General features: G+C 42.0%; 3 annotated features.

Moving 5' to 3' along the window:
* Window positions 6,013-6,102: an enhancer, noted in NCBI's record as "active region_25137". NCBI's record gives its function as "activates an Ori minimal core promoter by ATAC-STARR-seq in GM12878 lymphoblastoid cells {active_cell/tissue: GM12878}" and the evidence as "EXISTENCE:reporter gene assay evidence [ECO:0000049][PMID:35858748]".
* Window positions 7,412-7,491: an enhancer, noted in NCBI's record as "active region_25138". NCBI's record gives its function as "activates an Ori minimal core promoter by ATAC-STARR-seq in GM12878 lymphoblastoid cells {active_cell/tissue: GM12878}" and the evidence as "EXISTENCE:reporter gene assay evidence [ECO:0000049][PMID:35858748]".
* Window positions 7,512-7,661: an enhancer, noted in NCBI's record as "active region_25139". NCBI's record gives its function as "activates an Ori minimal core promoter by ATAC-STARR-seq in GM12878 lymphoblastoid cells {active_cell/tissue: GM12878}" and the evidence as "EXISTENCE:reporter gene assay evidence [ECO:0000049][PMID:35858748]".

The raw sequence follows: 14,328 nt of genomic DNA on the forward strand, positions 1-14,328 counted from the left end.
TGACTGTATCACCTAGCTGAGGTACAGTGGCACAATCTCAGCTGACTGCAACCTCCACCTCCCGGGCGCAAGCCATCCTTCCACCTCAGCCTCCCAAGTAGCTGGGACCACAGGCATTTTTTTGTGTCTTTTGTGGAGATGGGGTTTCACCATGTTGCCCAGGCTGATCTCAAACTCCTGAGCTCAAGCAATCCGCCCACCTTGGCCTCCCAAAGTGCTGGGATTACAGGAGTGAGCCACCTCGCCTGGCCTTATGCCCGGCTAGTTTTTAAATTTTTTATAGAGCTGGGGTCTTGCTGTGTTGCTCAGGCTGGTCTCAAACTCCTGGGCTCAAATGATTCTCCTGCCTCAGGCTCCCAAAATGCTGGGATTACAGGTGTGAGCCACTGTGTCTGGATTTAGGGAAATTCTTTTTTAAGGAAGTTACCATTATGTTGTGACCTGAAGGATAAGGTAAAATTAGCCTGAATAAAGTTAAAAGATGGGGGTGGCCACCGGCTAATAAGAGAGGTAGGAAGAAGAGCAATAAACTGTATTTTAAAATCCCATATAAAAATCTCATACAGCTAACACAGAAACAAATGAGCGGTGCCAGCTTTCCTTGATAAATTTCCAATGCCTAATGGCTGGGGAATATCCAAGTATACGTTGGTCCCCACTAGAGCCTCAGATTAGTTTTTAAAATGAAGAAAACAAATTGGGGTGGAGCGTAGATCATTCCAAAGCCAAGTGTATACTGAAGTGCTGCTGCTCAGGAGCAAGGCTACATTTTGAAGACCATACTCACCTGCCTTTCAAGTTAATAGGCCAAATAAAACAATTTAAGAAGCTAGAAATATGATCCAATGAGAACAGAGCCTGTGTGTGTGGAACAAACTGTGCATTTTGGCTCTGAGCACAGTGCATTTCCTTCCTCTTTTCTCCAAAGCAGAAATGTCTGCCAGCTTCCCTTTAAAGGAGACAGCGTGAAGATTTGTAACTGAAGCATATAGTTTAAATTCCGCTGATTAGTCTGTAAATTATAGCCAATACTCTTGCCCTCTCACACTCTACCCATGCCTTTACACTGGCCCTTATTTAACTTTGTTTATTCCATAGTACTTACTACTATCTGGAGATTCTACTGGAAATTTAATATATCTATTAAATTTGAATTAAATATGAATAAATTGTATGTGTTAAATATATGCATTTTATATATATATATATTTCACAAATAATTACTGAAATTGTAGTAATTGTTACCAAGGAGAGCAACACGATTATAGGTGCGTAAACAGGGACTTAATCTGAGATTTAATGAAATGCATCCGTGTGTGTGTGCATACATAAAATATGTATATACACACGTAGAAAATTTTGTTTCAGTAGTCTCCCTCTTCCTCTAAAAAATAAATTTGTTTTCTTCACTGTCAGACCCCGAGCACCTAGCCAAGTGCCTATTACTCCATTAATATTTATGGAATATTGATGATCCTGAATCATCAATTGTATGTAATCCTGAATCATCACTGTCAGCATTGAGCAGCTGAACCAATGTCTGTGGCCACTTATTAAATAAATATATGATGAACAAAACAAGCTTGTAAAGAGGTGTGGGACTGAAGCAGGTATAGTTGAATTTATGGCTGGCTAAGCTATAATTGGGTCACTGATAAGAATTTAGAGAGATATTTGGATATCATACTGGTACTCAACAAAGCACTATCCTCTTGCCTTGCACTCAACCCTCCTCTTAGCTCTCATGCTGACATCCGATTGTATCAGACCAACCCCTGGCTTGAAGATGTTTATCCATAGACAGTCAAGTATTCTAGTAGTTGGCTTGTCTTAGAGCACTGCCTAGGGTAGATGCCACATGCTGCGTGGTGACTGTGGCAGATACTACTCATTAGCTGACTGCTAACAGCTCTTTTCGGTCCCCTTCTATCTTGCTGCCTCCCTACTGCAGAGGCTAGACAGGCTCATTACTCACTTTCCCAGCCTTTTTGGCAGCTAAGTGTAGGTATATGATGTAGTTTTGGTCAGCGAAACACAAGCAGAAGTCTGTGAGGCATGTGTGTGTGTGGTGGTCATCAGGTGTATAATGGGGAAGAGGATTGGAAAGCATTCTGTGAGAACTTTTCCTTTCTCATAGAAGGGGCAGATGCAATGGGAGAGTTTGCTGGCCTTGGCCCTTTTCCAATCTTCTTGCCTTGAATGTAGATCCAGTGACGCCTAGATCTGCAGCAGATCTTGGCAGTTTGCAACCATGAGGCAACAAGATTGAAGATGAAAAGTCAACAGCTACCAGTGGAAGAACAGGAAGTTAGAAAGCCTGAATCATCGTCAGCATTGAGTTTCTGAACTAATGTCTATGACCACCTGCCTTTGGCCTATGGGAGAAAAAAATAAACCCCTGTTGATTTAAGTCACCATCAGTTCGATTTTCTGTTAATCGTGCAGATTTTTTTTTTTTTTTTTTTTTTTTTTACTCAATGTCAGGCCAACCTAAATAGATTGGCTTTCAGAGAGTTGGAATGTAAACCATGATGGAGAAGAGGATGACTGAGTGGAAGGGAGAAAGGAGAAAAGAAGAAACAACAAACTCAAGTACAGGATGTAGAAGACTAGAATAGTAAGCAAAGAAGATCACTTGTTGAGGGGAGAACAAGAGGCCCAGCAGCCAGAGGCTTAGCAGAACTGCCATGTGCCCCGAATAGTGCTCCCTCACTGTGCTCCCTGGGCACTAGCTCATTGGCGAGGCTTTCCTCTTCTGATGTTCCCACACATCTTCACCAACATCCCTTGTCACTAAAGGTAACCTAAATGTCTCTGTTCCTTGCAACTAAAAGAGCGCAACAGGCCAGGTGTGGTGGCTCACGCCTGTAATCCCAGCACTTTGGGAGGCTGAGGTGGGTGGTCACTAGGGCAGGAGTTCGAGACCAGCCTGGCCAACATGATGAAACCCCATCTCTACCAAAAATTCAAAAATTAGGTGGGTGTGGTGGTACACGCCTGTGGTCCCAGCTACTTGGGAGGCTGAGGCAGGAGAGTGGCTTGAACTGGGGAGGCGGAGGTTACAGTGAGCTGAGATTGTGCCATCGCACTCCAGCCTGGGTGACAGAGCAAGACTCTGTCTTAAAAAAAAAAGAAAAAGAAAAAAAAAGCACAATGAATTTCATTTCTAGCCATGAAATTTTTGGCCATTTCAGCATCATAAAGGGCAGCTACCCTATTCTTTTAGAAAACATTTCCCAATATAACACTAAACACCAGGCTGAAAAAAACTGTTGCTAAAAAGAACTGAGTAATCTAAAGCAGCATGCAGTTTGTCCTCAGAGCCTCATACTTCCTCTTTCAGTGCATCTTCCCCCTCCAGTCTCCGTACTTCCTTCACCACACACCAAAGCCCAGTGACTTCTTGCTGCTTCTCAGAAGCCCAGAGTCCTCCTACTTGGAGAATACCAAAAACTTCCCTAGCTCACAAGGCTTCAGCTGAAAGTGTCTCTCCATCCTTATCTTTCATCAACATCTAGGTCAATGGTTCCGTAGCAGATGCTCTTAGATGGCTCTGGGTAATGATAGATGAACAAATTGAACAAATTAATTTATTGACATCAATATTTGATAACCATTTTGGGGTGGACACTCCTAGATATTTTGACATTCGAACAGTTCTTAACTAGAAGAACCAATGTGTCCAGTGGTGACACTGGAGGTCTTGACAAGAAAGGATACAATAAGATAGTTTGCCTTGGGCAAAAGGGTCTTTTGGGTGCCTTTCAAATCATGGTATGATGGCTCATTTTTCAAAAGGCAGGCTCAGAGCCTAAATTCAGCCAACAGATGTGTTTTGTTTAGCCAGCAGAGAGAATTCCATTTTCATTGGTTCTAGGCAGGGCACGTAGTCCTGTTAAGTTTTAAGTATCTATATTTAATGTGATTATCTTGAATGCCAATACTAGATTTCTAGAGCAGAACACTTTTCTTTTTTTTTTTTTTTTTTACTTACAGCAAATAATTTTGTCAGCTCTCTTTTGTCCCAGTTCTTATCTCTGGGGCTATGCAATGAGACCCAGATGTACATGTAGGCTGCACATGTCATCCTATATGTAATGGTGTCTACTGTAAGTGAGGACACCCTCCAAAATGAATCTGGGCATTTATATAGGAGAAAGGGCCAACTTTCCCCTCCCGCTGTGAGAAAAGACGAGAAATCCATTGCTCCCTGGTATAAACACATTCTCCTTGGGAACAGAAAGAAAGATTCTGGGAGCTTAGCTTTTGGAATGTAAATAAATTTCCCCACTGGAAAGATGAGACTAGTGTCTCTGGCTTTACATCCCAGGAGATGTTTCCATGGTCCTGGGGGTTTAATTCTTCCTTGAAATGAAAACGCAGGTATCTTTGGGGAGGTAAATTTCTCTGGCATTCTCACTAATCACTTCGAAGTTAACACCAGGCTTGTCCTTTTAGCTTAGATTCCAAGATTCAGTAAAATGGGCTCAGAAAACCCTAACTGTTCAGAAACGTAAAAATATTGTCTCTATGGCCCACAATTCCACAGTTGAACCACACGCCTATCATCTCAACTGTCTTACACTCTGCAGCTTGATTTTTGTTACCTTTTTGGTTCTTACTTGTAGGCATTTGTCAATGATGGGATTTAGAACATGCTACCCGAAAATATGGTACTTAGGCATTTGGAGAAACAGCAGAAGTGAGAAGGTGACTCTCTGACTTTTTCCCACACTTCTCCCCTGAAGCAGGTTATAAAAGAAATATCGGGGCCGGGCGCAGTGGCTCATGCCTGTAATCCTAGCACTTTGGGAGGCTGAGGTGGGTGGATCATCTGAGGTCAGGAGTTCAAGACTAGCCTGGCCAACATGGTGAAACCCCGTCACTACTAAAAATACAAAAATTAGCCAGGTGTGGTGGCACACACCTGTAATCCCAGCTACTCAGGAGGCTGAGGAAGGAGAATTGCTTGAACCTGGGAGGTGGAGGTTGCAGTGAGGCGAGATCCCGCCACTGCACTCCAGCCTGTGTGATGGGAGCAAGACTCCATCTCAAAAATAAATTCTTGGGCCTTTATCTGAAAGAGGTCATAAGGCCACATTACAGAGTGCCCTTTCTATGTCAGGAAGGAAGGAATTTTTTTTTTTTTAATCTCTGATGACACAGGGACACAGAGAAGTAGCTTACAAGCAGGCTTGCTAAATTCCCCTCAGTTTATGACCATTGGATCACAGCCTTTTGTCCTCCAAGCACACTTCTGCATGGCTGCCCACTCTTCGTCAAACCTCAGCATAAAAAAACACTTATATTAAATACATTTGTATGCGCTTCTCTTGTTAATCTGTCTTTTGTTATAGGTGCCTTGGCCATGAACCTAACAGTGAGTGAGAAAAGAATCTCTTGTCCCCTACATCATCAAGTTATAACAACCAATACTTTGGTCAAAGAATGTATACTTGCTAACATTTAGACCTTTAAAAAGAGAATTGAAATACACTCCATTTGTGTGAATGAAAAATTTATAATATGTCTTTTCGGACAAGAAATCAAACAAAAATGAAAATGTAATTTCTTACTACTCCAGATTACATAGAGGATAACTGTATCTGCATGGAAATGTATCATCTGAGAAATGGGTTCATTTTGTCACAGAAATCCTAGTTGCTGGTTAGGAGTGAGCAAGACAGTCTTTAGTCAGTCAGGCATTTTGTGAGTGAGACTGTGCAGCACCGTGATCGAGCATGAAGTCCCCGAGGCTGGACTGCCTGCATTTAGGGGTCACACCACCACTGCTTTATCATGTGATCTAGGGCAAGGGACTTGTCTTCTCTGTGCCTCAGTTTCCTTACTTGTAAAGTGGAGATAGAATAATGTACACAGCATCGGATCTTTGTGAAGGTGAAATGAGATAATTATGAAAAATCTGTAGTCCTCTGCCTGACAAGTCACATTAGCTGTGTTATTAGATGAACGTTAGCTGTGTTATTAGATAAATGTTAGCTGTGTTATTATTTGCTACATCACCTCCCTGCTCCTCTGTGATTTAAAGAGAGCTTATTCTCTAATAGCAAATGAGAGAAAGAGAGAGGGAGAGATTTGTAAACTAAAAAGGGCATCACAGTTTTATTTCTTTGACTTGTAATGGAAGTTTGGGCCAGCTCTGGCAAGAACGCCACAAGGAGCAGTGAGTTCTACTCAAAGTGGTGAGGAGTGGTTAGGAAATTTTTTAGAGTAGGAGGAGACCTTTGAACTGAATCTTGAAACCACTTTCTACTCTCACTTTGGGCTCCTAGCAACCACTGAATAGTGGTAGAGAAAATAAAATAGACATTTTTAGAAAGTGTGTATTTTCCTATGGACTACTAAGCAATGACTGTATTTTTGAAAAACGTGCTTACAGCTTTAGATTCCAATAATTGCATGTGACAAATCTAAGCACGGTCAGCTTGTGCTTCTCCTGGCTTTGCCTTTTATTAGGTCCTGCACGGGCCAGCCACAGTCATTGTACCTCTATCCTATTCTGTAGTCATTTGTGGTTATCAGCAGTCTGATAGAAGACTGTAAGAGCTCACTTATTAAGATCAAGATAGAACGAGGGCAACACTATTCCTTAGGCCAGAGCAGGGAGGAACAATTTAACTGGGACCTATCTGAGGACATAAGCATATTTTTTAGAAAACTACACCAAAAAGGGATAGTTAGGATGGAAACATGGCAAAAATGTGGAGTTCAGGGAAGCAAAATTGTTTACTGTGTTCCCAGCAGCATCCAAGAGAAAGGATACCTTTTCCTGATAATGCACATGTCTAGTCCCTTTGTCAGGGAATGCAGAGGTTAATTAAGAGTATGAGAAGCCTGGCTGGGTGCAGGTGCAGTGGCTCCCAGCACTTTGGGAGGCCAAGGCAGGAGGCTCACTTCAGGCTAGGAGTTTAAGACCAGCCTAAGCAACATAGGGAGACCACGTCTCTGCAAAAAATAAAAAAATTAGCCAGGTATGGTGGCATGTACCTGTAGTCCTACCTACTCTGGAGGCTGAGGTGGGATGATTTTTTGAGGCCAGGAGTTCAAGGTTACAGTGAGCCATGACAGCACCACTGCACTCCAGCCTGGGCAACAGAGTGAGACCCTATCTCTAAAAAGAAAAAAAAAGTCTGCGAAACCAGACTCACTGGGTTCAAATCCCAGCCCCATCATTTCATAGCTTTAGAACATTGGGTAAGTTATTATATCTCCATTTGCCTCACTTTCCTCATCTGTAAATTGGGAATCGCAGTAATACTCACCTCAGTAGAGTAGATGTGAGGGTTCAGTGAAGGCATATGAGTTGTTCAGTGCCTGGGACAGAGAACATGTTGGATAAATCATGGCTAGTATTTCTCTTTGCTCAGCATTGTCTGCTCACATTTTCTTTCTCTTTCGTCTGTCCCTGAATCCCAGCACATTTCACACACAGGCCCACTCCACTTTGACATTCCTGACTTTAACTTTGGTTATTTCATGGGGCTAAAGCTGAGACTCAGACAGCTGGTGTTCAGCAGAATCACCAGCTGGAGCTCCTCAGACTGCATAGGACAAGCAAATCTGATAATGGTCACAAGATATTGGGGGACTTCCTAACTGCCATGAAATGGACAGGAGCCTTACACAGGTGCTGAGCCATATCCCCTGATTTAAACTGGACTGGAAATCTCTTGAAATGACCTTGAATCCTGCCTGCAATTGAGACTCAGGGACATAGAAACAGATATGAAGGATGGCAGAGAGGACAGTTGGCCTCTGGAAGAAAGCCACTGTGGGAGTGAAGTGTGGCAGAGCGACCCATTCTGGGCAGCAGCACCAGGCATTAGTGAGGGCCAGTGGTTCTGGTAAAGTGTGAAGTTGAGCTTGGCTTTCCATCGATTGTACTTTTGTTCCCATCCTAAGTGTCTGTGCACTTAGTAAGGGCAAGTGTAGATAACATGTCCTATTTGTGGTCTAAAACCTTTCAATGCATTTTGACACTTCCAGTCATTGTGATGATTCCTTAAGTTCTGCTTGCTCAAGGGAGAATTAAACAAACACTATATTTCCCAGACCCCCCTTATATCTTGGGTGTGGACAAGTGCCTACATTTCTTCAAACACACATGGCAAGACTTCAGTTGGAAGGGAGTTTGTGCAGCTGCATTCTGGTGGTGCAGGCGTAGTGGCTGAGATCACCACATCCACATTGCATTCATCCTCCTCCACTTAGGCCACTTTCACCCTGTTTTCAAGGGAGACAGCCACACAAGGCTCCTCATGCTCTCACAATTTACACTCTAAAAAGATGTGTTAACGGAATGTGCTGGATCTTTAGCTGGGAAAGTTGAAATACTAGAGGTGGGGCTGGGGAGAACTGGGCTCTAAAGTTGGCCTTTGAGGCAGGTAGGAAATTTTCCAGAAGGTGGGAAAACAATCTCTGACCAAGCAGCATCTCTATCCCAGGGTCCTCAACTGACATACTATCAGGTGGGTGGTAGTGCTGTGGCATGGGCTGTGAGTGGTGGTGAGTGGAGGGAGTCTGCTCTCTTGTTTGATACAGTTGTTCAGAAGAAGTCAGGGGCTGTCATATATATATGGGGTGGGGCGGTGGGGCAGAGAGAGAGAGAGAGAGAGAGATAAAGATAAGGCAGGGTTTCAGAACCCCTGCCAGGTGGCTGGTTTGCTGGGCAGTGCTCCAGTTCTGGTGAGAAATTAGAGTGCTAATAAAGCTGAGCAGACTAAAGTTCTAAGGATCGGGACCCTTACCATGGAAATTCCAGAGAGGCTGAGGCTCTGCAAACACAGCAATGCTAGAGTGGGGCAAAGGAGAGACCACACGTAGGGCATCATGTCTATATTCTGAGCCACCATCCAGCGGGAACAGGGCTTAAAGCCATTAGATGAGACTGCCATTGGGTCAGGTATAAGACTGGTTCAAATGGGTAAACATGCTTTAGTCCTGATTCGCACAGCTCCACTTTTGTGTGCCTGTTTTGTCCCTTCCTCATCTTAAGGCTGACTTCCCCCGTGGTCACAAGGTAAATTGCAGAAGCCACAGAGCCAAGATGCTCCTCCTTCTCACTCAGAGGGAGACAGGACATTTGCTACAAATTTCAAACAGACTATCTCTGACCAGTTTCCTTGGGCAGGGAATTAGGGGCAGTAATGGCTTAGGTCTGGATCACCAATGTGGTCCCCCCTGGAGTGAGGGGTGAGGTCCGCTCCACCCAAACCCCATGACCGCTATGCAGTTGGGGAGGGCTGGAATGGATGTTTTAAGAGACAACCCTATGTTCAAGAGGAATCTTCAAACTCTCCTAGGCTTGGTCAGAAATCACTAGCAGCATAGTCCATTAAATCACCAACTAAACTTTTGAAACGTTGCACGTGATGGCATAAGTCGGGATTCTCCAGAGAAACAGAGCCAATAGGATGTGTATCTGCAGAGAGAAAGATTTATTTTAAGGAACTGGCCTACATGATTATGGAGGCTGGTAAGTCCAAAAGCTGTAGAGTGGGCCACCAGGCAGAGACCAGAGAGCAGCTGATGTTGCAGTTCGAGTCTCAAGGCTGTCTGCTGGCAGAATTTCTTCTGTCGTATTGCAGTTTTAGGGCACTTGCTTCTGAGTGGGGCACCTGTCTCTGAGAAGGAAGTAAGGACTCTCGTAGTACCAAGTTCCAAGAGACAGGCCTGGTAGCACAAAAGAAGGTCTGACTACCTAGCCACATGGTTGAACTTGCTTCCAACTGCCTCTGAGTGACAAAACTTCCAGAAAAAGGAACAATAGTTGGAATCTGCTTCAGTAAGAAAAAAAATGGTGTCCAGTATAGTTTTCATATACACTCTAGGCTTGGTGCCTTAGGAAGATAGGGCATCTGAGATAGAAGAGAAGTTAGGGAGGTGAATTGAGCCCCGAACCTGCCTTGCAGGACACAAGCAGTGTTTCTGACTGGGTGAGGGCAAAGAGAAAGCTCCCCCATTCCTGAAGCTATGCCCAACCTCATGAGAAACAGATTCTTTGTTTATCTTTCATTGTTGGCTTAAAATTATCAGCTACTGAGTAGTTTTGTTATTAAATGGTTATTGTGATGATGATTGTATTAAATTTCTGTTATTTTTATGTTTCTTTTAGGAAAATGGAATGAAATTATAGAAACAATACTTTTAGATAGTAGAAATTGATCCCATTTTCACTGTCAAAAATAAAATTGAGAGGTTTTGAATTAGAACTTAGAGGTTTAAATAGCTGTAGCAATGAGCTTCCTTTTTAGAAGGTGTTAAGTTCTAATCATTGCCTCATTATCACTTCAAAAGATTTGCTTTTTCAGCTCTGTGGTTAGAAGTGTGTTAATGTCTCAGCAGTGAAGACGAGTTAGGGATTTTGTGGTTTTTTAGCTAGAACACTCACGGTGAACATTGCTTTTAGTTCCAATTCATGTGAGCGGACTCTTCTCTAAGTGGAAGATTTTGGAACATGAAATGGACTGGACATACAATCGATTTTTAAGAGTCAAAGATTTTGATTTAAAAATCAGTAAATCTGGTCCAGTTTGTAGGTTATGAAATGAGATAGACTAAAACATCTAAAGGTATTTTAAGAGTCTAGGCTTTCCTTGTCCACGATGATGACCACTAGCTACATGTGTCTTCTGAGCACTTGAGATGTGGCTAGCCCTCACGGTGTTGAACTGTAAGTGTTGAATACATACTGGCTCTGGAAGATGTATGTACAAAAGATGAAAATAAAACATTTCATTAATGTTTAAAAAATATCAATTATACATTGAATGATCATAATTTGAATATATTGAGTTAAATAAAATATATGACCAAAATTATTTTCACCTATTTCTTTATACCTTTTATACTTATTTAAAGGGGCTAATAGAAAATGTAAAATGATATATGTGATTTGCATTAAAATCTGCTGGACTAGCACATAATGTCCTTCATGTTTGTCGTTTTGTCCTCATATCTGTGGTCACTGTGTTGGCCTTGGGCACTTCTGCTTGGTCACTGCAACAGCCTGCCATCTGATCCTCGTTCATTCTCAGCTCAGCTCCATTGCCTGTTCTTTTTGGCCAAGTCTTCCTCAGTCGGCAGGTCACTGCAGTGCCTCACCCTGACAGTGACTGCACCAGGAAGTGCTAGGTTCTAGGTCCTCCGTCTAGCCCTCCTTTGCAACACTATGAGGCTTTTAAATTGTAAATTATTTTAGTCCAAAATTGAAATTTGTTGGAAGGAGGTGGGGGCAGAGATAAGTGGAATCTTACCGTATGCACTTTTTTGTGTCTAGATTCTTTTGCTAAACAGCCATGCTTTTTAAAAGTATTTTTGATGTTGTTTTTAATTCATTTGCATTTCAATTTATATCAGGGACTCCAAAGGTTGGGCCTTGGGAAAGGAAGCAGGAACTAGAGCACCATGGGCTACGGAGCAATTGTTTTATTGTTTTTCTGTTGCCATGTCCATGATTAAAGAAGCCACTGTACAGCTTCTGATTTTTACCCATGAATCAGTTTCTGCTACATGTAGAGAGTGACAGTTGTCACAGCCTGATTTTATTTTATTTTATTTTATTTATTTTGTGATCTCACTCTGTTGCCCAGGCTGGCGTGCAGTGGTGCAATCTTGGCTCACTTCAACCTCCACCTCCTGGCTTCAAGCGATCCTCCACCACTGCTTCCCTAGTAGCTGGAACTACAGGCATGCGCCACCACACCCAGCTAATTTTTCTATTTTTTGTAGAACTGGGGTTTCATCATATTGCCTGGGCTGGTCTCAAACCCTGAGATCAAGCCATCCGCCTGCCTTGCCCTCCCAAAGTGCTGGGATTACAGGCGTGAGCCACCGTGCTGGGCAAAAGGTTTGGAGACAGCCTGATTTTAAATCAAAGGCATTCAGCTTGGGAGCCCTGGTCTAGGAACTGTATCTAATTTTTCTGTTCATCTTTCACACTGCAGCTGATCTGAGCCTGTGGACTACCTATCAGTACTGACTCCTGATGTAATAATAGTAACAGGAACTCATCACTGTGTGCTGTACAATGTAGGGAGTACTTTTAAACAACCATTGTATTATTGGATTCCCACAAGTGTAAGCAGTAGGCAGCACACCAATGTTATTTATTATCATTTTGTAGATGTGGTCACAGAGAGGCAGACCAACTAACTGATCTTCCCAAAGTCCCAAGCCAGGTGACTCAGTTGGCCTGTCCTGCAGGCAGGATTCGGCCAGGTCTCTGAGTCTCCTTCTACTGGTGCACATTTCCTGTTAGTATTTTCCTCAGGGAAATCCCTTTGGCTCTGACTCCTGAAAAGAAAGCTTGTCTTCTAAAGTTGCCAAATAATCTGGTCTGCCTTCAATTGAAGGGACTTTGAATCGTGGGAAGAGGAAAGGGGAGAGCTGTGCTAAAAAGATGAGTCATTGCTTCAAGATTGAGGAAGCAAGGTTTTATATCTCGGGGACTTTTCAGGAGGAGGATCAGTGTTTCTTGATGGTGAAAACAAGGAAGTGGAGGAAGGGAAGAAAGCACACCCAAGTATTTATTTTCCCTTCTGTCTTTGAATGCACATTCTTCCTATTATATTTTCTATTTGCCACATCTCTTACTCATTTTAACAACTTTTTGTTAAGAATACCTATTGGTTAAAAATTATTTTTTATTTCTTAACATTGCAGTTTGCTTTCTATACTATGTCCTTAATTGACTACCTCTGTATAAGTAGCTGGTACACATGTATTTTTTTTCAGGAATCCTTTCTTACTTATATTCAGATGTGGCTTAATTGGACAAACCCCACTGAGGTTCATCACTTTTCTTTTCCTTTTCTGCTTGACTGTCCTCTTTCTCCTCCAGCCATCCATCCACCTGCGAGAAAGGGCTATAAAAGGCGTCCTTACTTCCTTAAGAGGAAGGAAATGGCAGTGAGTTTTTTCACCAGTAGAAACATGTAGATGAGTCATATTTATAGCCTTTTTTTTTTTTGTCACCCACGCTGGAGTGCAGTGGCGCACTCTCTGTAGCCTAATTCTTTAATGCATACACCTGTTTAGTAGGCATTTCATTGCCAACCTTTCAATGCTCTTATGGGTATTTAGTATGATCTGTGAGAATCTGGAGGACTGGTTAGTATATTAAGTCCTGAACTTTTTAAAAGAAACTTGGTTGCTTGTTCTGTTGGTATGAATTAAGTTCTCAACCAAGAAAATAGATTAATTAATTGGGCAATGTTAGTTGTGGGCATAGTTTTAGGAAGACTTCTAGGATCTTTAAAATATCCACTTCTGCCTCTTTCTGGGATGAGAACTATAATACTTTTTCTTAAAATCACTTTGAGCAAATTATAATATACATACAGAAAAGTGCACATACGTGAATATAATTATTCATTTTCAAAAACTGAGAATATCTAAGTAACCAGCAGCTCCCAGTCCTCTTTATACTCCCTGCTATTCTTTTCTCTTTAGCCTACAGGGAACCCTTGTCCTCACTTCTAATAGCAGAGCTTGGTTTTTCCTGTTTTGTACCTTATATAAGTGGAATCTTACTTTAGGTAGTCTGGTGTCTAGATTCTTTTGCTGAACATCAATTTTTTTAAAGTACGTTTTAATACTGTTTTCAATTTATTCTCATGTGCAAAGCCTTGGACGTACAGGGAAGTGTGAGAAAAAACCTGAAAACCAGTAAGCATAATCTCATCACCTATAGAGACCTACTATTATAATTTTTGGCTATTTTTTTGGAATACTTTTTATATGAAATGTTTAAAAATTTTACATAGCTAAGTATGCTGTGTATTTAACTTTGAATTCTGTCTTATTTTGGCTTAATATTATATTTTAGCATCTATTTTTAAAAAAATTATTATTACTGTTACTATTTTTAGTGACGGATCTGCCTCTGTCACCCAGACTGGAGTGCGGTGGTGCAATCATAGCTCACTGCAGCCTCGAACTCCTGTGCTCAACCAATCCTCTGCCTCAGCCTCCCAAGTACCTGGGACTACAGACATGTACCCCCATGCCCAGTTGAATTTTAAAACTCTTTTTAGAGATGAAGTCTCCCTATTTTGTGCAGCCTGGTCTTGAACTCCTGGGCTCAAATGATCCTCTTGCCTCAGCCTCCTGAGTAGTTGGGATTACAGACCATGAGCCAACATGCTTAACTCAGCATTTTATTTTTCATTAAAGACTTCATAAACATTTTAAAAGGCTGAATATTGTCATTTTATAAATGAACCATCATGTACTTACCTATTCCCTTTAGGGTGAATATTTAGATGGTTTCCAAATTGTTGCCGAACAAGTAATGCAGTGGTTGAC

The sequence above is a fragment of the Homo sapiens genome, chromosome 6 (genome assembly GCF_000001405.40).
Source record: "Homo sapiens chromosome 6, GRCh38.p14 Primary Assembly".
Taxonomy (NCBI): Eukaryota; Metazoa; Chordata; class Mammalia; order Primates; family Hominidae; genus Homo; species Homo sapiens.